Below are 24,091 nucleotides of genomic sequence, written 5' to 3' on the forward strand. Positions count from 1 at the left end.
TTCCCCATTTAACCCCTCAACACCCCATCTGTGCTTTCTGAAACCTCTATTTCCTGCTTAAACTATTTTACATATTCAACTTCTTTAGTGAAATTCTCCTTCATCTCCTAACCTTAACTATTGATAACACGTAGATTTTCCTGCCAGCCATTTCAGTTGAGCCCTTTCTCTGACCCTGCATTTAAAGGTTGGGCATGGCTGTAGCCATGTTGAACGGATTTCAATTCCTCAGAATACTTTCTTCCCTCAGTATCTTCACAAAGGCTCTTTTCTCTCTCTGGGACATTTGAGCTCCCTGTTTCCTCCTATCTTTTTCTGGATAACTTCTATTAAAGATCTGAGTTTAGCTGTCACTTTACTTGAGGGGTATACCCTAACTTCCATAGAGTTAGGTATTTTTGCTATGTACTCTTAGCTGTCCTGCACTTCCCTCACGGCATTTATCACATGTATCTTAATTGCTTCTTTGCCATCCCTACTAAGCGAGACTGTCGGTGAGGGACTGTGTTTGTCTCGTTTATCTTTGTAACTCCAGTAGCTAATACAGTTCTTGGCACATAAGACAGTCAGTTATTTCTTGAATGATTGCAGGTGCTGAAGGTATGCTGCAGAGATCAGGCAGTTAACGTTAATGAATACTTCACCCTTAGAAGGGGTCACCTGCCACTCAGCTACAGCTGATTGTGGCTATGTGAGAATATGATCCCAGTTTTGCCAGAACATCTAATTTTTTCAAAAAAAGTTGGAAATACCATTTTTTAAAAAGCATCCTCTCCCAGTTTTTAAATGTTGTCAGTGGAATAGAATTTTATTAAAAAAAAAAAAGTGGGTCAAACACAAGTCTCATATGGCCTATCAGTCACTAGTTTGGAATCTGTTTTAAGTCTTGTAGGGTTTATATAATGGGCTTTGTGGAGAATAATAGGTTTTGAGTTGGGCCTTGATGGACCGTTGGATGTTGAATGAGAGAATGGAAAAAGATATCCCGTTTGGAAAATAAACAGCTCCGTGGTAGTATGTGTTAGTCTGTTTGTGGCACAGTAAGGAAACAGGCATAATTATATGCTTTTGGAGAGAATAGAAGGTTAGATATAATAGAAGGAGGCATATGGAAGATAGAAGTTTGGATTTATTATGGTTAATAAAAAACCTCTTGGATTCTTGATCCTGGAAACTTCACATTATGAATATGCGTTAACAGTTGATTATCCTTTTTTAGGGTAAAATGGAGGGTAAAACACTGGAAGGAGGCTGACCGGTTAAGGCCTTAACTTCCATCCATATATGAAATAAAATTCAGATTTATAAATATTATATGTAGGCAGACATCTGGCATTTTTGTTTACTTGTGTAATTTCAGTTAATTGATCAATTATAATGGACAATCAGGGATCTCCTACTAAGTTTAGTGCAGTACATTCGGGCTTATAAAAGAAGTATCCTTAAAGCGTTGGAAAGTCAAGTGACTTGTGAAACTAGTAGAGAATGCAGTACTTTTTATTTTTTTATTTTTTGAGACGGTGTCTTGCTCTGTTGCCCAGGCTGGAGTGCAGTGGCACGATCATGGCTCACTGCAACCTCCATCTCCCAGGTTCAAGGGATTCTCCTGCCTCAACTTCCTGAGTAGCTGGAATTACAGGCATGTCCCACCATGCCTGGTTAATTTTTGTATATTTTTTAAGTGGAGACGGGGTATTACTATGTTGGCCAGACTGATCTTGAACTCTCAACCTCAAATGATCCGCCAGGCTCAGCCTCCCAAAATGGTGGGATTACGGGCATGAGCCACCGCACCCAGCCCCAGCATCAGTTAATTTTTTTTTTTCAATGACCTTAACTAATTATGTTCTAAAATTTATGTTTAGTTGTCTGGAATTTCAATTTTTTTTTTTTTTTGTGTGTGTGTGTGACGGAGTCTCACTCTGTCACCCAGGCTGGAGTGCAGTGGCGCGATCTTGGCTCACTGCAAGCTCCCCCTCCCGGGTTCATGCCATTCTCCTGCCTCAGCCTTCCGAGTAGCTGGGACTACAGGCGCCCACCACCGCCCCCGGCTAATTTTGTTTTTGTATTTTTAGTAGAGATGGGGTTTCACCGTGTTAGCCAGTATGGTCTCGATCTCCTGACTTCGTGATCCGCCCCCCTCGGCCTCCCAAAGTGCTGGGATTACAAGCGTGAGCCACCGCGCCCGGCCTGGAATTTCAAATATTTTCTAATAGAAACATTAGAATATTAATTCACTCTGAATACTGAGCACAGTGTGCAAATTGTTCTAGGAGCTTAATATTCATCAGTGAACAAATAGACATTCCTGCTTTTTATTATTATTAGCATTAATAATCTAAGATACTATATAGTGTACTTTTAATACAGATTAAACCCTCACTACTAGAAATACTACTAGTAGAAATATTACTAGTGAGGGACTAATGTGTATTAAAAGTACATTATGTGGTATCTTAGATTATTAGTGCTAATTAAAGATAGCACGATTGGGGGATCTGTTATAAGTGACATTAAGAAGGTGACATTGAAGGGCAGGAAAGTTAATTCCACAGATACCTGGATGAAGGGTGGCCTGCCCCTCCACACCTGTGGGTGTTTCTCGTCAGGTGGGACGAGAGACTGAGAAAAGAAATAAGACACAGAGACAAAGTATAGAGAAAGAACAGTGGGCCCAGGAGACCAACACTTAGCATATGGAGGACCTGCACCGGCACCAGTCTGTGAGTTCCCTCAGTATTTATTGTTTACTATTTGCACTGTCTCAGCAAGGGGAATGCGGCAGGAGAACAGGGTGATAGTGGGGAGAAGGTCAGCAAGAAAACGTGAGCAAAGGAATCTGTGTCACAAATAAGTTCAAGGGAAGGTACTATGCCTGGATGTGCACATAGGCCAGATTTATGCTTCTCTCCACCCAAGCATCTCAGTGTAGTAAAGAATAACAGAGCAGCATTGCCACCAGCATATCTCGCCTCCAGCCACAGGGTGGTTTTCTCCTATCTCAGAATAGAACAAATGTACAATCGGGTTTTATACCGAGACATTCCGTTTCCAGGGGCATGCAGGAGGCAGAGGCCTTCCTCTTACCTCAACCGCAAGAGGCCTTCCTCTTTTACTGATCCTCCTCAGCACAGACCCTTCATGGGTGTCGGGCTGGGGGACGGTCAGGTCTTTCTCGTCCCACGAGGCCATATCTCAGGCTGTCTCATTGGGGAGAAACCTTGGACAATACCCGGCTTTCCTGGGTAGAGGTCCCTGCAGCTTTCCGCAGGGCATTGTGCCCCTGGTTAATCGAGAATGGAGAATGGTGATGACTTTTACCAAGCAAACTGCCTGTAAACATGTTGTTAACAAGGCACATCCTGCACAGCCCTAGATCCCTTAAACCTTGATACCATACAACACATGTTTCTGTGAGCACAGGGTTGGGGCTAAAGTTACAGATTAACAGCATCTCAAGGCAAAACAATTGTTCAGGGTACAGATCTTTTTTTGTTTGTTTGTTTTTGTTTTTGAGATGGAGTCTCGCTCTGTCACCCAGGCTGGAGTGCAGTGGTGCAATCTTGGCTCGCTGCAACCTTCGCCTCTCGGGTTCAAGCGATTCTCTTGCCTCAGCCTCCTGAGTAGCTGGTACTACAGGCACGTGCCACCACACCTGGCTAATTTTTTGTATTTTTGGTAGAGACGGGGTTTCACCATGTCAGCCAGGATGGTCTCAATCTCCTGACCTTGTGATCCGCGCGCCTCGGCCTCCCAAAGTGCTGGGATTACAGGCGTGAGCCACCGTGCCCAGCCATGGTACAGATCAAAATGGAGTTTCTTATGTCTTCCTTTTCTACATAGACACAGTAACAGTCCGATCTCTCTTTCTTTTCCCCACATCTGGAGAAGAATATTCTGTGCAGGGAATTGCCAGTGCAAAGACCTATGTTCATCTGAAGTTTGAGGTCAATGTGACTTTGCTGTTCAGTAACTCTAGTTGGCTATCAATAGTTGTTGAAAGAATATAAAAAGCGAAGGAATGAGTTTTGGTGGGGAGGGGAAGCTATTTATCCTGAGTGTATTTAATAATGGAAACTGACTAGATTGGAATGCAGAGTTACTATAGCCTAAGTTGCTACTATAACCAGTTTGGTTAAAATGAAAAAACAGATCCATTATCTTGACTTTGGATTCAGAGTGTTAATGGTTTGACAGAAGGATATTGCCTATGACTTTGTTTTCTCAATTTCCATGACACTTTTGCTTAGAGTGCAAGTCCTCCATAATCTCTCAGCCCTCAGTTGAAGTTAACATAACAGTGGTTGGATAGCCCAGTGGAGTGCTCTAAGAAAGGCTTCTTTTCTTTCTGGAATTAAATATCCCATGATGGTATATTAAACATACCGTCTTCATTGAATATGGCATAAGAGAAAGAGATTTTTATAATCCATAACCAGTTATTAGCGCACTTCTGAATGAAGCTTGTATTCTCCACACTGAGTTCTAATTCTGTTCTTTGCCTAATTGTGATGTAGAGGGTCCTTCTATTGTTCTGTTGATTCTTCAGTTTGAATATCTTGTTGGCTTAGATAACTTTTCTGGAGTACCATCGAAACTGCACTGATATGAGGAGATGTAGTGATGATGTGGCAGGTAACATGATCACTCACTGGGAGTCTGAACACCTTTGTATAAATGTAACTGATTGGTCAATTTCCTAAGCCTGGATAATATCATAAACAACATATGCCGCTAATCAGGAAGCTTGCTGTACTTATCAGCTATTTTTAAATCCTTTAAAAATTACAAGGTTCTAGCATGGGGGCAACATAGTAAGACCATGACTTGATAAAAAATAAAATTAGCCAGGTGTGGTGGTATGCCTGTGGTTCCAGCTACTAGGGAGGTTGAGTCGGGAGGATCACTTGAGCCCAGGAGGTCAAGGCTACAGTGAGGTGTGTTTGCCCCACTGCATTCCCGCCTGGGCAACAGAGTGAGACCTTGTCTAAGGAAAAGAAAGAAAAAGAAAATTGCAAGTTTCCATTTGAATATAAGGTGATATTAGTGTATTCTGTCTTCTAATTACCATAGGAGATGGTAATTTTCATCATACTAAACTATGGAGGTATTTTGAAGTCATTGTTTACAATAACAGCTAAAAACAACCTTAAACATCTAGTACAATCTCAGAGATAAGGATAAGAGAGATGACCTGCCCAGCTCTCAACTGGCAAAATTCTAGACTAGACTTCTAGGACTAGAATTCTGTTATTATAATTTTGTTCTTATGAAACTTGGGTGGCCTCTGGTGGCCAAAATGATATCTTCTATTTTCAAGAGTGTGTTTGAAGCGAGTTTGGCCTGAGAGTTCTGTTTATACAATTAATGAAGATTTAATTATTTCTCTATATTGGTTGGTTTATACAGACACAAATCTTTACGTCTGTATTTCCCCCCCTTACAGGAAATTGTTGAAAACGTTAAATTTGATTCCTAAAAGGACTCAAGTAAGTATAGTATAGTAGTATTTAATATAGTAGTTATTGTTACATTTTTTGTGGGACACCGGTAAATTTTAATATTTCAGTATTAAACTACATACTATTTCTTTAGAACTCTTATTGTTTATTTTTCTCATTTATTACAAAACCTTATTTTTATTTACATTCTCCTTTAGTATATTAATTTACATTCATCATTTTTATCATCACTTCACATGTTATGCTTATTGAATGATTTTCAGGAACTTTAAAAACAGTTACATACTTTTGTAATACATAATAGTATATATACATTATGCAGTAAAATATTCATCCTCTGCCCAGCTACCTAGTTCTCCCCAGAGGCAATTGCTGTTGCATTCTCTTGTTACTCCCAGGAGTAGTCTGTACATATGCATATATATTCATACCTGGTCTTTTTACTGTGCTTTTCTTTGCTTAGCAGTATATCTTGGCAGTCTTTTCATATTGTTACTGGGGTTACTTTTCTTTGAAATGGTTTGCAAAAATACTCCTTTTGTATAAATATAATTGATCAATTTACAAAAGGAATACAAAATATTCCTTTTGTATAAATGTAACTGATTGGTTCAGCAATTTAATTTGTGCTATTTTGATGGATATTTTAAGTTCCTTTCAATCTTTGCTATGCAAGTGTACAAGTATACCTAGAAGTAGAATTGCCAGGTCAAAGCATATGTGTTTTTAAAATTTTAATAAATATTGCCAAATTCTTCCCAATCTGTACCAATTATACTTCCTTTTTTTTATTTTTTATTTTTTATTTTTATTTTTATTTTTTTTGAGATGGAGTCTCACTCTGTTGCCCAGGCTGGAGTGCAGTGGCACAATCTTAGCTCACTGCAAGCTCCGCCTCCCGGGTTCATGCCATTCTCCTGCCTCAGCCTCCCGAGTAGCTGGGACTACAGGCGCCCGCCACCACGCCCAGCTAATTTTTTGTATTTTTAGTAGAGACAGAGTTTCACTGTGTTAGCCAGGATGGTCTCGATCTCCTGACCTCGTGATCCGCCCACCTCGGCCTCCCAAAATGCTGGGATTACAAGCGTGAGCCGCTGCGCCCGGCCAACCTCCTTTACTAACCTATGTAAGTGTTGCTTTCCTTAATCTCATCACTGCAGTTGGATTTTTGCAGAGCTTTTGGATGAAAATAAGTATGCCATTATAGTTTTGGTTTTCATCTTCTTTATTTTGAAGGAGGTTGAACATCTTTTCAAAAGATTTTTAAGAGCCATTTGTATTTTTTTGTGAACTGTTTGCTTATATGTCTGTTTTTCTTCTGGGTATAGCTATTGACATTTTTCCCCTTTGATTTGACTTTACTTCATTGCTGTTACTATTTCTCTGTACTGTATCTTAAAAAGGATAAAATCTAACTCTTTAGACTGAAACCTTTAGTGGATTCAGTAAAGGTGGGGGAGGAGGAGTAATGTTGACAATTTACTTCCCTTTCAAGCTTCCATAGTTCTTGCACCTAAAAGACTGATTGCTTGGAATCATACATTATTAAATGAGGTCTTATTGTAGACAGAGAATTCAGTTTTATTCATGCATAATGTTAAAAGCTAATTTTTTTCTCTTGAATGTGTGTCTTGAGAAAAAGTTAATTTTTAATTTAAAGTAAGATTTCCTAGGCATCTTTGGCTAGTTAATTCATTATATTGGGTCTGTTTGTATTAGAAAATATTATAGTTGTGTTTTTGCAGAGAAAATTGGTTGCTTTGCTATAATAATATCAAGAAAAAAAGTTGCACCCTTCTTCCAGCCTTTAATTTTTCCTTAACTTAAACTAACTGAACCATTAGAATTCTATAGCTGTTCTGTACTGTCAAAATGGAGTAGCTATCTGTTTGCCCCTCCCTTAGTATTACATTATAAGGAGCCACCAAAAATCTTTTGACATTAAGTCTTTTTTGAAATGTGTTTCTTCTTCACATATCTGTGCCCTACTTTCTGTGTACTGAAAGGTACTAACTTACTACCTGGACCATTTTCATTTTTTGCTCATGGTGGTTCTTCTGTACATCAGGATGGTTCACAGTTCTTGGCTTAGAACCTGCTTCATGATTGCTTCACTTTCTCCTGGTTCTTCTCTGTTAACCATTTGTCATCCACTCCAGAAGTTGTGAAGCTACTGCCTGCAAGCGCTAGCCTGTTTTTGTAAATCCAGTTTACACACTTATACATTTATGTGTATTGTCTATGGGTGGAGATGTGAGTAGTTGTAAAAGAGATCTGTGACCTACAAGGCCGAAAATATTTGTCTGATCTTTTGAAGAAAAATTTGCCAACTTCTGATTTATAGTATTGCCATTTCATATAAATGGTCTCTTTTCCCCTACCCTATTCTCATTTTCTCTTGTTTGCCTTGTTTACCTTGTCTTTTGTCTGTTCAGTTTCTATTTTCATCTCTTCTTGTGGCTATATACCCTTGAATTCTTTAACACCATATTCACCTTCCTCAAAGTAGGAAGCATTTATGAAAAGAATACACCGTCCCACCCCCCCCTTCTCTGAATCCCAAACCTGAAAAATGTTGACAGAACTTTTAATTTCACATTTTGTGAGGTGGCTTTTGCATTAAAATAAATTTATAGCGTTAAAAAAATCAGGAGTGGTTTCTTTCAGGGATTGTTGAGTGTGTTTTTGCAGGATTGTTCTTTTAACACTTTTTTCAGTTAAAAACACATTATTTAACATAGAGAGAGTAGATATATATTAAATGAAGACTGTAGAAAAGCAAAAAACTAATGTTATTTATACGAACTATTCACCAGGAAATAGGAATAACTTTGCCGATCAGCCATTTAAACGATTCATTAAAAAATGAATCGTTTCTGTTTTTTGCTGTAGGAGAATGAAGAAGTATTTGTGGTCTGAAGTGTGCCACCAATTTCCTCCCATAATTGATGGCAACAATCTCTTTGAAGCTTTAAATAGTCTTGCCTAAGAAGGAAGATAGGGCTTTCCGTGTTTTTTTTTTTTTTTTTTTAAAGAAAATCTCAAAATTGTTTGGAAGAAACATTCTTTCTTTTGGTCACTTTCATTTTTTTTTTTTCTCTTAAGATCTCTGGAAAATATTTGTGTTGGAAAGTAATCATTTACTCCTTCCTTACCTTTTCTGTTACTTCCTAGTATAAAATCCATAATTCTTTTTTTTTTCTTTAGTGGCTTACAGAAGAGACGAAATGTGGTCTGAGGGACGATATGAATATGAAAGAATTCCGAGAGAACGAGCACCTCCTCGAAGTCATCCCAGTGTAAGTTACTCCTACATATTGAATGATTCAAAAACCTGGTGTCTGAATTAATTTGATACACCAAAGCTAGGCCTATTAACAAAATCTTCAAGTGTCAGAAATTTACCAGTGTAGTTTACAAAAGAGATCAAGCTTATCTTTTAAAAGTTAAAAGTTCAAAAATAAAAGACAACATTTTATTTAAGTAGAAAACTTATTATTTATATTTCTTGTTTAAATTTCTAAAATGAAGGGTTTATATTGAATTTAATTTGTGAACAAAATTACAGATTTTATAAAGATTATACCATCAGTTAGCAAAGAAGTATTTGAGTACCTGCTCCTGCTGTTATTGGCTGTTACCTATTTTTTTCTATATTCCTAAAAATGTTACAAATTGAATATATGAAATTCTAAAAGTAGGCTTTCATTCTAAGAGAGGAGAACTCTTCCTAGAGTGGAAACATGTTAATATCCCTTGTTAGGATTCCTGCAGGTGTGCTGTCCTGTGGTCAGGCAGTCTGACTGGTAAGTAAGAATGCCTGGAGGCTCAGGGTCAGGCAGACAGGCAGCTTCTGGTGTGCTGTCCTACTTCTTGTCTCTCGTTGCTCTGGGAATTGGGAATTTTGAGCCAAGCCTTTTCTAAGCCCAAAGAACTTACTGTTTTGTTTACTATTTCCAGTGCTACATCTAGTACTTAGCAGGTAATAGAAGCTCAATATTTATTTGAGTGAATATGTGTACTGACTCCCCAGAATTCCCTGTGGAGGTCTAAAGGAGGGTTTGGGGAAGGTTAAAAAGCTAACTTAAACTTTTGCACAGACCCATTCTAAGCACCAAGGGACTAAGGTTGTGGTGATAGTATATGAATATATTATAGATTCATTATATACCATCAAAAGCCACAAATATTTATGTCTACGTTAGTTATTTTTTACTTATGTAACATTTAATCCTATAGCCCACTTAGATGGGTGGTATCGTCTTTAGGTTTGTCGTTGTCCTAGATTACAATCCAGGTTGGGGTTGATTTAAAATGATTTAAGATGGAAAAAATAAAGATGCCCATTATACTTCAGGATGGCCAGACTTAATTATTACTATATGTCATTTATTTCCAGGTGAATTTGTAGACTTCATGTTTTCAATCAAAATCCCAATGTTTTTATTTATATTTTTTACTTGATAAGGTTATTCTGTAGTTTACCTGTAGGGAAAAGGGATGACTTTTTTCTTTATCTCCCCTCTCCCCTCTGCCACTCTGCCAAGGATATATCCCATTAGGAATTGTTCTGTTTTTTTTTTTCTTTTTTCTTTTTTTTTTTTTGAGATGGAGTTTCACTCTTGTCACCTCAGCTGGAGTGCAATGGCGCAGTCTTGGCTCATTCACTCTTGTCGCCCAGGCTGGAGTGCAGTGGTGCAGTCTCGGCTCACTGGGTTCAAGCGATTCTTCTGTCTCAGCTTCCTGAGTAGCTGGGATTACAGGTGCCCACCACCACACCTGGTTAATTTTTGTATTTTTAGTAGAGATGGGGTTTCACCATGTTGACCAGGCTGGTCTCGAACTCCTGACCTCAGGTGGCCTGCCCACCTTGGTCTCCCAAAGTTCTGGGATTACAGGCATAAGCCACCATGCCTGGCCTCTTTTCTTTTTTTTGAGGCAGTCTTACTCTGTAGCCCAGGCTGGAGTGCAGTGGTGCGATCTTGGCTCACTACGTCCTCTACTTCCCGGGTTCAAGCGATTCTTGTGCCTCAGCCTCCTGAGTAGCTAGGATTGCATGCCACCATACCTGGCTATTTTTATTTTATTTTATTTTATTTTATTTTATTTATTTATTTATTTATTTGGAGATGGAGTCTAACTCTCTTGCCCAGGCTGGAGTGCAGCGGTACAATCTTGGCTCACTGCAACCTCTGTGTCCTGGATTCAAGCGATTCTCCTGCCTCAGCCTCCTGAGTAGCTGGGACTACAGGCACAAGCCACCACGCCTGGCTAATTTTTATATTTTTAGTAGAGACGGGGTTTCACCGTGTTGGCCAGGCCGGTCTCGAATTCCTGACCTCAAGTGATCCACCCCCCTCAGCCTCCCAAAGTGCTGGGATTACAGGCATGAGCCACTGCCACTGCACCCGCATCTAATTTTTGTATTTTTAGTAGGGACAGGGTTTTGCCGTGTTGGCCAGGCTGGTCTCGAACTCCTGGCCTGAAGTGATCTGTCCACCTTGGCCTCTCAAAGTGCTGGGATTACACGCGTCAGCCACCACTCCAGGCCCCATTAGGAGTTTTAAATTCTGTGTTTTGAAGATACTTAAAAGGGTTTTCTGTGTGGTTATGCCATCAACTGGGCACCAGTCTGTAGGATTGTGTGCTTTATTACTTTGGGACTGGGGAAAGCAGGTTATTGTATCGATTTAAGATTGTAAGATGAGTAGTGGATCCAGGGGATAAGGATGTTGAAGGTGCTGACCCAGAAAATTATTGAAGTAATACACCATTTGGTGTTGGCTGATAAAGAAAGAGAGTGAGGCTGAGAGGGACAGGAAATTGAAAGAATGAGTGGTTGAGGGACAGGAAAGGCTTAGGAAAGGCTTTGGTATGGTAGAAAGATAGGCAATCGGTATTTTAGAGTGTGGGGTTTCCAAGATGGAACAGTTTTGAGTGAAGTTCAGTGTGTGACAATGAGAATAGAGAGCTAGTGTAAGTTACTGGAGTTGAGAGCAATGAAACTATTAGGATAGACTTTAGATTTGTGATTTAGATCAGAAGCTCTCAATCCTTGTTGTACGTTAAAATTTCCTAGAGAGCTCTTTAGTAACACTGTATGGGCCCCGTCTTAGATAATTAAATTATTGTCTCTTTGGGTGTGATGTGGACCTCAGTATTGTTTAAAAGTTCAAGTGATTCTTACATGCAGAATTTAAAAAATACAGATGTATTTGAATTGAAGTCATAGTGACAGGAGTTGAGGTAAAAATGACAGGTGATGGAAGTCTTTAATGAATCAGCATATTGCGGAAAAATCTAAACAAAACCATTTTCATTTAATATTATCTGTGTTTGTGTAAATATGAAACAGAGGCTTCTTATCCCTCATAAAATAATTTTATCAGAAGCAAGCAGGTAGGGAGATATTGTCCTTAAAATCAGACTAGATGTATTCAGCTGTCTCTTAAATGCCTAAAGGTAAACCTTACTTCCTTAAGTTAACTGGCTGCTTGGTTCCTCATGGAGGAGCCTAGATTGTTTTTCTCTTTTTGAGAGCACAGGACCTGACCAGACCTTGTACAGGTTCATTTCTCTCCTTTTTCTTCAATTCCATTAGATTGGTCTTTCTGTTCCCCCAATCAGCCTCTCCTAGTTTATACAAATCCTTCTTTCTGTATATCCATATCCCTCCTTCCCAAGACTCAGGTGCATTTTTTTTTTCTGGTGCACTTGGCCTTATTTTGGTTAGTAATTTAAAGCCTTCTCTTTCCCTCAATACATTGTACCCCTTAGATGGCTCTTGAAAATTATCCCCTGTGCCTTCTGTGTTACACCTGCATCTTAGTTAAATAAAGTGTAGATTCTTAACCTTTTTTTGTGCGATGGATCCCTTTAGCTGTCTGGTGAAGCCTATGGATCCCTTCTCAGAATAACATTTTTAAACCTATAAATAAAATGCACAGAACTAAGTGCACTTACATTTGAGAATGATTATCAAGCTATTAAAAACCAAATTTGTGATACAGTAATACATAGTTCTTTAGTAGGTCATTAAATATCAAAAGCTACTGGTGGTGGTTTCATTGCTGTAATTTCAAAGTAGTGATGAGTGTTACAAATGATATTTTGCAATACCTGTAACAGCTAGATGTAACATGGTATAAAATTATCTGTGATCTCTTTTGGTAACAAAGTCACAGATACATCTGCTGTTGTTATTATCTAAAGTTAGTTGAAAAAAGTAATTTTGTGTTCACATCTCATTTAATGGACCCACTGAATCTTTGGGTTAAAGTAATTGAACTAGAAATGTAAATAGTTATACTTTCTTACTTTAATAAAAATATAACTTATTAAAAGCTTAAGGCTGAATACAGTGGCTCTTGCCTATAATCTGAGCACTTTGGGAGTCCGAGGTAGGAGGATCACTTGAGCCCAGGAGTTTGAGACCAGCCTGGGCAACAATGTGAGACCCTGTCTCTACAAAAAATTTTAAAAATTAGCCATGCATAGTAGCGCATGCCTGTAGTCCCACCTACATTGGGAAGCTGAGGCAGGAGGATTGCTTGAGCCCAGGAAGTTGAGGCTGCAGTGAGCTGTGTTTTGTGCCACTGCGTTGAAGCCTGGGCAACAGAGGGAGAGATCCTGTCTCAAAAAAAAAAAAAAAAAAGATTTAAAAATATTTGCTTAGATAATCTAGTTATTTTAAAAACCATATTAGCATATCATATTGATGTATATGAGAAAGTTCATAAGAAGCATTATTTGTAAGAGCTTCAAACTGACAACAAACCAGATGTCCAACAGTGAAGTTGATTGTTTAAATTATACACCAATGAGAATCAATGGGCTACTGCCAAGTGCAACAACATGGATAAACTTCACAAATATAATATTAAAAGAAAGAAGTCAGTCACAAGAGTTTATTCTGCGTGTTTCATTTTATGTAACATTCCAAAACAAGTGAAACTAGCTGGGAAAGTGGTTTCTTTTGGGAAGAGGCAGTAGTGACTGGGAGACCGCACAATGAACGATTTTGCTGCGCTGGGAATATTCTCTTTCTTAATCTGGGTGGTACTTACACCTTGTGAAATTTATCCATTTGTGATTTGTACACTTTTTTATATGTATGGCATACCTCAAAAGTTTTGAAAAGGCAGATTTTTTTTGCAAAATATAAAACTAGTTAAGTTGATAACCCACTATCGTTAGTGCTTGGAATAGAGGAAGGTAACATTCTATTTTGTTTTATGTATTTGAATCCTGTTCTTTATCAAAAAACAATTTTACAGAATTTCTCTCCCTTTTTTTCTTTCTTTCTTTCTTTTTTTTTTTTTTTGAGATGGAGTTTTGCTCTGTCGCCCAGGTTGGAGTGCAGTGGCATGATCTCAGCTCACTGCAACCTCTGCCTCCCAGGTTCAAGCGATTCTTGTGCCTCAGCCTCCCTGAATAGCTGGGATTACAGGCGCCTACCACCACGCTTGGCTATTTTTTGTATTTTTTAGTAGAGGTGGGGTTTTGCCATGTTGACCAGGCTGGTTTCAAACTCCTGACCTCAGGTGATCCGCCTCGGCCTCCCAAAGTGCTGGGATTACAGGCGTGAGCCATCGTGCCCGGCTTCTCCGTTTTTTCTTAGTACACTCTTTGCCCCATTTATGATCAATTCTGATACAAAATAAATGTATTTGAGGAACTACTAGATGTGATATAAAGTGCAACGTGAAGTGGTGACTGTTGGGAAGGTAAGGTACCTTCTGTAGTAGTATGACCTCGTTAATAAAAGCAGCTGTTTTCTGAGTTTCTAGCCTTGATAAACCTGAAAAGACAATTGAACACTAATATACTTTGGTTTTGATGTTAAATTATACTTAATTTGAGTTTTGGCAAACTTATCCTCAATATACAGCTTAACAAATGTACCAGTCATTATTTTAGCACTTTATGGTATGCTTTTAAATTATTATTATTATTATTATTTTTTGAGGCGGAGTCTGGCTCTATCGCCCAGGCTGGAGTGCAGCGGGCGATCTCGGCTCACTGCAAGCTCCGCCTCCCGGGTTCACGCCATTCTTCTGCCTCAGCCTCCCGAGTAGCTGGGACTATAGGCACCTGCCACCACGCCCGGCTAATTTTTTGTATTTTTGGTAGAGACGGGGTTTCACCGTGTTAGCCAGGATGGTCTCGATCTCCTGACCTCGTGATCCGCCTGCCTTGGCCTCCCAAAGTGCTAGGATTATAGGTGTGAGCCATCGCGCCCAGGCGCTTTTAAATTCTTTATGTATAAATAGTAAGTCACTTTTATAAGGGGCTTTCACAGAAATTTTTATTTGGCCTTAAACTTGGGTAGGTAGGTAGCAGACTAAAGTTCAAAGAAGTGCACTACAGAGATTTTGTATGTAAATATATATGCTTCTTCTATAGGAAGGAAATCAGTCACCACAGAATATCTACACTTCTAGGTACCTGTAAAGCTCTTGTTTTTAAAGCATGCTTTCTGTCTTTAAACCTATAATTTCTATGAGCTTAGTTATCTGATTTCTTAACCTTTATCAAGTTTTGTGACAGAATGGCATTCATTCATTCATTCATTCATTCATTCGTTCATATGTACATACACACAGGGTCTTGCTATGTCATCCAGCTGAAGTGCAGTGGAGCAGCCACAGCTCACTGCAGCCTCAGACCCCTGGGCTCAAGTGATCCTCTCACCTTGGCCTCCCAGATCGTTGGGATTACAGGCATGAGGCACCATGCCCAGCCCAGAATGGCTTTTAAATACATGTAAACTTCCACTTATGGGGTTCCAGCTTCTTAGCCTGTTGGAGAACAGTTAGGTAATATGGAACATTTTAATGAAGCTGCAACATAAAATGTCGATTTTTTCATTAGCTTATTTGAAAATGGGAGAGAAGTTCCAGTTTCAGAATTTTTAAAAGTTGTAATGTTTGGAAATTAGGATCAGAGCACTAGCAGTTTATATTCTGGGCAATTACAACAGAGCTGGGGCTGAAGCAGTCCTATCTGCTTATCCCTGCTTCATTTTTCTGTTTCTTTAACAAATACATTATTTTGCATTAAAAGATTTTTCTGGTTTTGGCAGCAGCAGGGAGAACAATATTGACTAGTAGTGATGTCAAGAACAGCAACACGTTATTTTTCTGTCACATTTGTGGTAAATATGAGTTACATAATTAGTTTTTGTAATTAAGTAGTTAAATAACAATATTTACTTCCTTAGATTAATTGAATCTTTTTTATAATTCTTGTCATTGTTTATTTCTCTCTCCTAGAGAGTTTGGCCAATCAAAAATAAATCCTTTAGTAAATCCAGAACATGATTTTGTTAATATCTGAGCCTTTATAGGGAATAGATGGGATGCATATCAGTTCCACCTGTTCTCAAATGTAAATGTACTCAAACCATAATCCAGACATTTTTCTTTTGACTAACTTGACAGTCAGGTCTACTTAATTTAGTAATTCAGTTATATACATATTCCATATAACATTGTTTAAAATGTATTAATGTTGAAATATTTTTTCTTTCCATTCTTATTTCATGAAACACTTTTATTCAAAATCTTCACAGGCATATTTAAATTTCTGTTCTTTTTATGCCCCACATATTATTATTGTTTTATACAGTCATCAGTGTTCATGTAAATTTTCCCATGTAAGTACAACTTCCCAATATTTTATTATGGAATTTTTCAAACATACATCAGTCAAAAGAATTTTTATAGTGACCATCCATATACTCCCCATTTAGACTCAACTATTAACATTTTACTAAACTTGCTTTATCATGTATTTATTCATGCAATTAATCCATCTATGTTTTTGAATACATTTCAAAGTAAATTGTGGACAACAGTATCCTTCCCGTTAACTACTCAAGCATATGTATTATTAGCTAGAGTGCAATTTTTTAATAGTTTTTTTTAATGGGAAAATTACATACATGAAATGTAAAAAAAGTGTTTCTTTGCTGAGTTTGATTTAGTAATGTTCCCTTCTGTAGAGTTGCCCTAAGAGGTGTTTTACTTTCTTTGCTGACAGAATTGCAAGGACTTAACTTTCTTTTTGTTGTCACTGTTTTCAGAAGAAATGTGATCAATTCTTGGCTACATTCTCGAATAAGATGCCTTAGCTCTCTGGGTCGATACCAGTTTTTATGTTTTTGACACACTGTCACCAAAAGACGTTGGAATGACTCAGAAACACCAATATTTCATTCAAGAATCAGTGAGTGAAATAAATCAACAAGTGCTAAAATAAGAATGTATGTCATAGACTATAGGGATCAGAGTTAGGAAATTACAAGCTTATGAAAGCAAAAGCCTACCAGCCTGTGTAATAGAATATTTTAGTTAGGTGTGGTTTGTATGGTACTTTTCTGTAAAAAGCATGTGATGCCAGAAGTAAAATAAAATTGAGATAGCAGGGTATAATATATATATTATGGATGTGGTGCTTACTGTGTGCCAGGTGCTGTTCTAGGTGCTGGGAATAGAGCAGTAAATAAGACCAATAAAGGTTTTGTAGGCTTACATTTGCATTGTAAGTTGATTGTGATAGGACATAATGGCATTGATTATTTACATATGCCATCGTATTTACTTCTTTGGTAGGTTAGTGTGTTTTCGTTGTTATTTGATGTTTTATAAGGGGAAATATCAAGCATATAATAACACACATTAATGTGATCAACTCCCAAAGGAGAAATCGACTATCAGCTTCATTGCCAATCTTGTTTTGTCTATGCTTCTACCACTTTCTTCCCTCCTAGATTATTTTGAAGTAAAACCATGATATCACACTTAAAATGTCAATAAGTATTTCAATATGTGTTGCTAGAAGATAAAAATGTTTGGGGGGGATGGGCTTAATACTTTTACTTTTATATTAATACTTTCATTTTAAATTAAATGATTTTATGTGAAAATGAGTAAATTTTAATGACATATTGGAAAAGAAATATTTTTAAAGAAACATGGTAATTCATACAATTTTTACCTAGTTACTTATGAGATTTAACAACAGTGTGGATTTTTTTTTTTTTTTTTTGAGACAGAGTCTTGCTCTGTTGCCCAGGCTGGAGTGCAGTGGCATAATCTCGGCTCACTGCAACCTCTGCCTCCCAGGCTCAAGCAGTTTTTGTGCCTCAGCCTCCCATATAGCTGGGATTATAGATGTGTGCCACTAAACCTGGCTAATTTTGTGTATTTTTAGTAGAGATGGGGTTTCACCATGTTAGCCAGGCTGGTCTCGAATTCCTGGCCTCAAACTGATCTGCCCCCCTCAGCCTCCCAAAGTGTTGGGATTACAGGTGTGAGCTACCGTGCCCAGCCAGTGTGAAAAATTTGATACAGATTTTTATATTGAATCAAATAACCATCAACTTGGTGCTTTTACTTACTAAAATGAAAGCATTTCCTGTAACCGATAGGTATATTGGAATGTATGGCAAATTAAGAAGTAGCTGATTATTTTCTAACAAAACCATTTCACCAGTTGGAAAACTAGGTATTTTATTCTGACCAGATTCTCATTAACGTAAGCAAACCAAAGAATTCTTATTACACACACTTAGAGGGTCTTGTAGTAGTAATCTTAGGGGTGAGACCTCATCCCTAAGATGATGACAGATTTGAAAGTTTAAATTTCATTGAAGTATAACTTTCCAAAAGTATTTAAGTTTATGTGCAAGTTTTTTTTTTAATACCCTGCCAGAGTAGGTAAATTATCATTAGATAGACCTTTCATTTTAAATGAGCTACATATACTTTTTATTTTTGGTCTGACTGATCATACCATTAATACTAACACCATTAATACTAACTTTGGAGTAGCAAATCCAATAAATTCTATGCATATTTTTTGGAAATTCTAGTAACATCCACAGAAAATTCTGATCTTTTTAATAAGGATACTTATATAATCATTAATATGTAGATATATATTAATATTTATATTAGTATGTAGATATTTTTAATAAATAGAAGCAGTGAAAATTGATATCATTGATTGAGTAAATTGAGATTTTATATTTAAATTCAAGATTTGAAATATCTGCATTTGAAATAATAGAAATGTTTCAACTCCAATGAGTTTATTTTTTGATTACTTGAAAATGACCCTGTTAACCTTTTAAGATAGTCTTTACAAGTCATAATTTTTTTTTCTGGTTTGTATATTATGGTGCCATTGTTTTTCAAGGTATTTTCCTCTTTTTTCTTTCCATTTTTTATTTTTGTTTACTTATTTTTAACATTAAATTTTATTGTGTATATTTGAGATTCACAACATGATGTTATGGGATACATATAGATGCAGGTACACATGGATGCATATTCATAGTACAGTGGTTACTGTAGTGAAGGAGACAAACATATTCATCATCCCACATAGTTACCTTTTTGTGTGATAAGAACACCTAAAATTTGTATATTTCACAAAAATTTCTAATGCAATACAATTTTATTAATTTTGGTCCTCATATTGTACATTAGATCTCTAGACTTATTCATCTTACTTACCTATTTTGTATTCCTTGACTTACCATTCCCCATTTCTTCCCCTACCCGTGGTAACCAGTTTCATCCTCTATCTCTGTGTATTTGAGCTCTTTTTTGTTTTTTTTAAATTCCACATATAAATGATTATCATGCAATATTTTTTTGTGTGTGTATCTAGCTTATTTCACTTAGCATAATGTCCTTCGGGTATATCCATGTGTTGTAAATAGCAGTATCTCCCTCTTTTTATAAGGATGAATAATATTCCACTAATATATTTATATACCAGATTTTCTTGATCCATTTGTTCATCCATAGGAACTTAAGTTGTTTCTAAATTTGGCAATTGTGAATAATGCTGCAGTGAACATGGAAGTGTGAATATCTTGAACAGGTGGTGATTTCATCGCCTTTGGGTATACAGTATACCCAGAAGAGGGATTACTAGGTCATGTGGTAGTTTTATTTTTACTTTCTCTAGGAATTTCCATACTGTTTTCCATAATGGCTGTACCAGTCTACATTCCCACCAACAATGTATTAGGGTTCTCTTTCTCTCATACCCTCACCAACATTTGTAATCTCTTGTCTTTCTGACCATAGCCATCCTTAAGGGTGTGAGGGGATATCTCATAGTGGTTTTAATTTGCATTTTCCCTGTGGTTAGTGATGTCAAGCACCTTTTCATATAACTGTTGACCTTTTTTTAAAAAAATTATTATTACTTGGAGATGGCATCTCACTCTGTTTTCCCAGGCTGGAGTGCAGTCACCAGTCAGCTCACTGCAGCCTTGAACTCCTAGGCTCAAGGGATCCTCTCACCTTAGCCTCCCAAGTATCTGCGATTACAGGTGTGAGCAGCTGCACCCAGCTGGCCTTTTTGTTTGTTTGTTTCTTTTCAACTAGCATCCTGGTGTAGTCAACATAGAGGTGGCATGAACCAGGCCAGAATGCCAATCAGCTATTGGCTACTGTTCTCCCAGAAGTGTAATGCTTGCCTAGGTACAAGGCAACCTAGAAAGCTGCCTACAGCTGGGGAGCTGGCCATTTTTATGTCTTCTTTGGAGAAATGCCTGTTTATGGTCTTTGTCCATTTTTAAATTGACTTTTTGCCAATATCTTTCTAAAATGGAGGTTCCGAACATTTCAGTAGTACCTTAAGTCTGTGTACCTATGTTAGCATACAGAAAGGAAAATTACATGTTTACAGCTTAATGTAAGATTTGCATAAGAATTTCAGTGTTATTATTTGTATTCATGTCTGGCAATGCAGGTAATAAAAATACTGTTTGAATTTCAACAATATAATCTTTTTGAAAGGGGCGGGCGCAGTGGCTCATGCCTGTAATCCCAGCACTTTGGGAGGCGTAGGCAGGTGGATTACCTGAGGTCAGGAATTCGAGACCAGCCTGACCAGTACGGTGAAATCCTGTCTCTACTAAAAATACAAAAATTAGCTGGGCATGGTGGCATGCACCTGTAATCCCAACTACTCGGGAGGCTGAGGCAGGAGAATCATTTGAACCTAGGAGGTGTAGGTTGCAGTGAGCTGAGATTGCACCACCGCACTGTAGCCTGTGCCGCAGAGTGAGACTCCATCTCAAAGAATTTGAAAGGGAAATTCTGAATTCTTTGCCACTCATCATAGATTTTATTGGGAACAGAAATCCTTGAATGATATACCTGGATAAGACACGAACGCTTTAAAAATACAGTCCTCTTTGCTACAGGCTCCTGCAGTCATCTTTGTTTCCTTAAATCTTTTCATATAGCTAGGGAGTTTTCTTTAAGATCAGGTATCTACAGAGCAGAGATAGTATAATGTACATATATTTGAACACTTTCTCGAAATACCAACTTGGTCTTTATAGCCAGGTATAAGAGCTGTCATTGAATTTTTGTTTTCTTTTGCTGATTAAACAGCTTTTATTTTTATTTTATTTATTTTTTTGAGATGGAGTCTTGCTCTGTTGCCCCAGCTGGAGTGCAGTGGTGCGAGCTCAGCTCACTGCAGCCTCTACCTCCTGGGTTCAAGCGATTCTCCTACCTCAGCCTCCTGAGTAGCTGGCACTACAGGCATGCACACCTCACCTGGCTAATTTTTTTTTTTTTTTTTTTTTTTTTAGTAGAAACGGGGTTTCACCGTGTTGGCCAGGCTGGTCTCAATCTCCTAACCTCAAGTGCTCCACCTGCCTTGACCTCCCAAAGTGCTAGGATTACAGGCATGAGCCACCATGCCCGGCCTTAAACAACTTAAAGAATGATTGTTTTCATTTACCTCAGTTGGTAAAGCAATTTTTCTAAATAAGTAACTAAGTGTGATTTGAATTTTACTTCTGCCAAAGTTTTACCAAATACATTTTACAATCCCCAGATAACTTTCTAATAACTGGGGCAGTTGAACAAAGGAACAGAGTGCTTTGTAAAATAATAAGCTCTCTATTCATAGAAGTGTTTAGGCATGCATAGTCACCCCACCATCCCTCCAAATAATCGTATACAAACAAACAAGGATATTGTGTAATGGATTGTTATGGTTTATTGGAATTTGGAGAAGTCAGTTATTCTGATTTTATGAGTGACAAATTTTCAATTAGAAATGATGTAAATTGTAATTTTACTAATTTTGGCTTAATGTCAGTTTTTTTTTTGGGCAGCTTAGTACTTAAATTTAATTGAAATCTCTGTGAAAGGTAGTTTGTAGAAGAATGAGTCAGTATATTCATTTGTGTATCATATTTTATGTAAATGTAGAATATATCTTATAATTTAATATCTAACATACTAAAGGAGGTAACCACCTTACATCCCCATGGGAAAAATTAGTTAGATCTTTTAAGCTCTCAAATAAATACAAACTACTGATTTTATTTTTTCCTGACCCATTGACAAATTTCCTAGCTATTGAGAGATTTGAATAGTATATAGTCATTTAATAACAATTGAATTGTTGTAGTCATTAGGGCTAAGAAGTAATTTAAGGAAACAGTTTGAGATACTTAGTATTTTTTTCCGTAGATTTGCACAGTAGTAATGAATATAGCAAACATTTTTTGAGCACTTAGTGTGTGCCTGAACACGGTACTAAACACTTTGCATTCCATTTCTCATTTAGTCCTCACAGTGCCATGAGGTAGGTGTTAGTATTAATTTCATTTTACAGGCTCAGGGATGATAGATAAACAGCTCTGAAGGTTGGGCTTTATATTTTGTAAGTTTTGTTTTGTTTTTTAAATTTTTTTAGTATTTATTGATCATTCTTGGGTGTTTCTCGGAGAGGGGGATTTGGCAGGGTCATAGGACAATAGTGGAGAGAAGGTCAGCAGATAAACATGTGAACAAAGGTCTCTGGTTTTCCTAGGCAGAGGACCCTGCGGCCTTCCGCAGTGTTTGTGTCCCTGGGTACTTGAGATTAGGGAGTGGTGATGACTCTTAACGAGCATGCTGCCTTCAGGCATCTGTTTAACAAAGCACATCTTGCACCGCCCTTAATCCATTTAACCCTGAGTTGACACAGCACATGTTTCAGAGAGCACGGGGTTGGGGGTAAGGTTATAGATTAACAGCATCCCAAGGCAGAAGAATTTTTCTTAGTACAGAACAAAATGGAGTCTCCTACGTCTACTTCTTTCTACACAGACACAGTCACAATCTGATCTCTCTTTCTTTTCCCCACATTTCCCCCTTTTCTATTTGACAAAACCGCCATCGTCATCATGGCCCGTCCTCAGTGAGCTGTTGGGTACACCTCCCAGACGGGGTGGTGGCCCGGCAGAGGGGCTCCTCACTTCCCAGACGTGGTGGCGGGGCAGAGGGGGCCCTCCCACCCCCCAGAGGGGGTGGCCGGGCAGAGGCGCCCCCCACCTCCCAGACAGGGCGGCTGCCGGGCGGGGGCGCCCCCCACCTCCCAGACGGGGCGGCTGCCGGGCGGGGGCGCCCCCCACCTCCCAGACGGGGCGGCTGCCGGGCGGGGGCGCCCCTCACCTCCCAGACCGGGCGGCTGGGGGAGGCGCCCCTCACCTCCCAGACGGGGTGGTCGCCGGGCAGAGGCGCTCCTCACCTCCCAGACGGGGTGGTGGCCGGGCAGAGGTGCTCCCCACATCCCAGACGATGGGCGGCCGGGCAGAGACGCTCCTCACTTCCTAGACGGGCTGACCGCCAGGAAGAGGCGCTCCTCACTTCCCAGACTGGGCGGCCAGGCAGAGGGGCTCCTCACATCCCAGACGATGGGCGGCCGGGCAGAGACGCTTCTCACTTCCTAGATGGGATGGCAGCCAGGAAGAGGCGCTCCTCACTTCCCAGAGTGGGCGACTGGGCAGAGGGGCTCCTCACATCCCAGAAGATGGGCGGCCAGGCAGAGACGCTCCTCACTTCCTAGACGGGGTGGTGGCCGGGCAGAGGCTGCAATCTCAGCACTTTGGGAGGCCAAGGCAGGCGGCTGGGAGGTGGAGGTTGTAGCGAGCGGAGATCACGCCACTGCACTCCAGCCTGGGCAACATTGAGCATTGAGTGAGCGAGACTCTGTCTGCGATCCCGGCACCTCGGGAGGCTGAGGCGGGCAGATCACTCGAGGTCAGGAGCTGGAGACCAGCCCGGCCAACACGGCGAAACCCCATCTCCACCAAAAAATACAAAAACCAGTCAGGCATGGCGGCGCGCGCCTGCAATCCCAGGCACTCGGCAGGCTGAGGCAGGAGAATCAGGCAGGGAGAGGTTGCAGTGAGCCGAGATCGCGGCAGTACAGTCCAGCCTCGGCAACAGAGGGAGACCCTGGAAAGCAGGAGACGGAGAGGAGGGAGAGGGGGAGACCATGGCAAGCGGGAGAGGGAGAGGGGGAGGGGAAGAGGGAGAGGGTTTTGTTTTTTTCCAGATTAGTTAATTCATATTGATCTTATGTTATATCAGGCTTTACAGTTTTTTTTTAACATATATCTCATTTGATATTGATTGATGTGTCATGAATGCCCAAGACCAGATTATGTACAGATATATGTTCTGTAGCTCTCTACTTCTTTCTGTGGATAATCGTTTTTGTTATTTTATAGCAGCTACTAACCTAAGACATATGTTCTCCCTGCGTCCAATTCCCCAAGTCTCACAAAAAACCTACTCATTTTTTAAAACATT

The 24,091-nt window shown here is 39.1% G+C and overlaps 1 protein-coding gene across 41 annotated transcripts in view, besides 1 other annotated feature; it reads left to right on the forward strand.

The window, feature by feature from the left end:
• The window catches only part of PPHLN1 (periphilin 1), a 122,455-nt gene that overhangs the window by 1,047 nt on the left and 97,317 nt on the right, over positions 1-24,091 (forward strand). For 22 of the 41 annotated variants that reach the window (XM_017019434.2, XM_011538459.2, XM_017019436.2 and 19 more), the window contains exons 2-3: positions 5,447-5,489; positions 8,670-8,761. In XM_017019434.2, coding sequence (XP_016874923.1) covers position 5,489; positions 8,670-8,761 — 93 coding nt within the window. In that variant the 5' untranslated portion in view covers positions 5,447-5,488. Of the gene's footprint in view, positions 1-2,609; positions 2,724-4,584; positions 4,636-5,446; positions 5,490-8,669; positions 8,762-24,091 lie in introns of those variants that run through there. The other 19 variants (XM_017019437.3, NM_016488.7, NM_001364827.2 and 16 more) reach the window with 3 other exon arrangements.
• Positions 21,981-22,977: an enhancer, noted in NCBI's record as "OCT4-NANOG-H3K27ac hESC enhancer chr12:42742996-42743992 (GRCh37/hg19 assembly coordinates)". NCBI's record gives its function as "activates a minimal SCP1, AML or CMV promoter by ChIP-STARR-seq in naive and primed H9 embryonic stem cells {active_cell/tissue: H9 hESC(naive and primed)}" and the evidence as "EXISTENCE:reporter gene assay evidence [ECO:0000049][PMID:30033119]".

Source organism: Homo sapiens, chromosome 12 (assembly GCF_000001405.40).
Source record: "Homo sapiens chromosome 12, GRCh38.p14 Primary Assembly".
NCBI classification, from domain to species: Eukaryota; Metazoa; Chordata; class Mammalia; order Primates; family Hominidae; genus Homo; species Homo sapiens.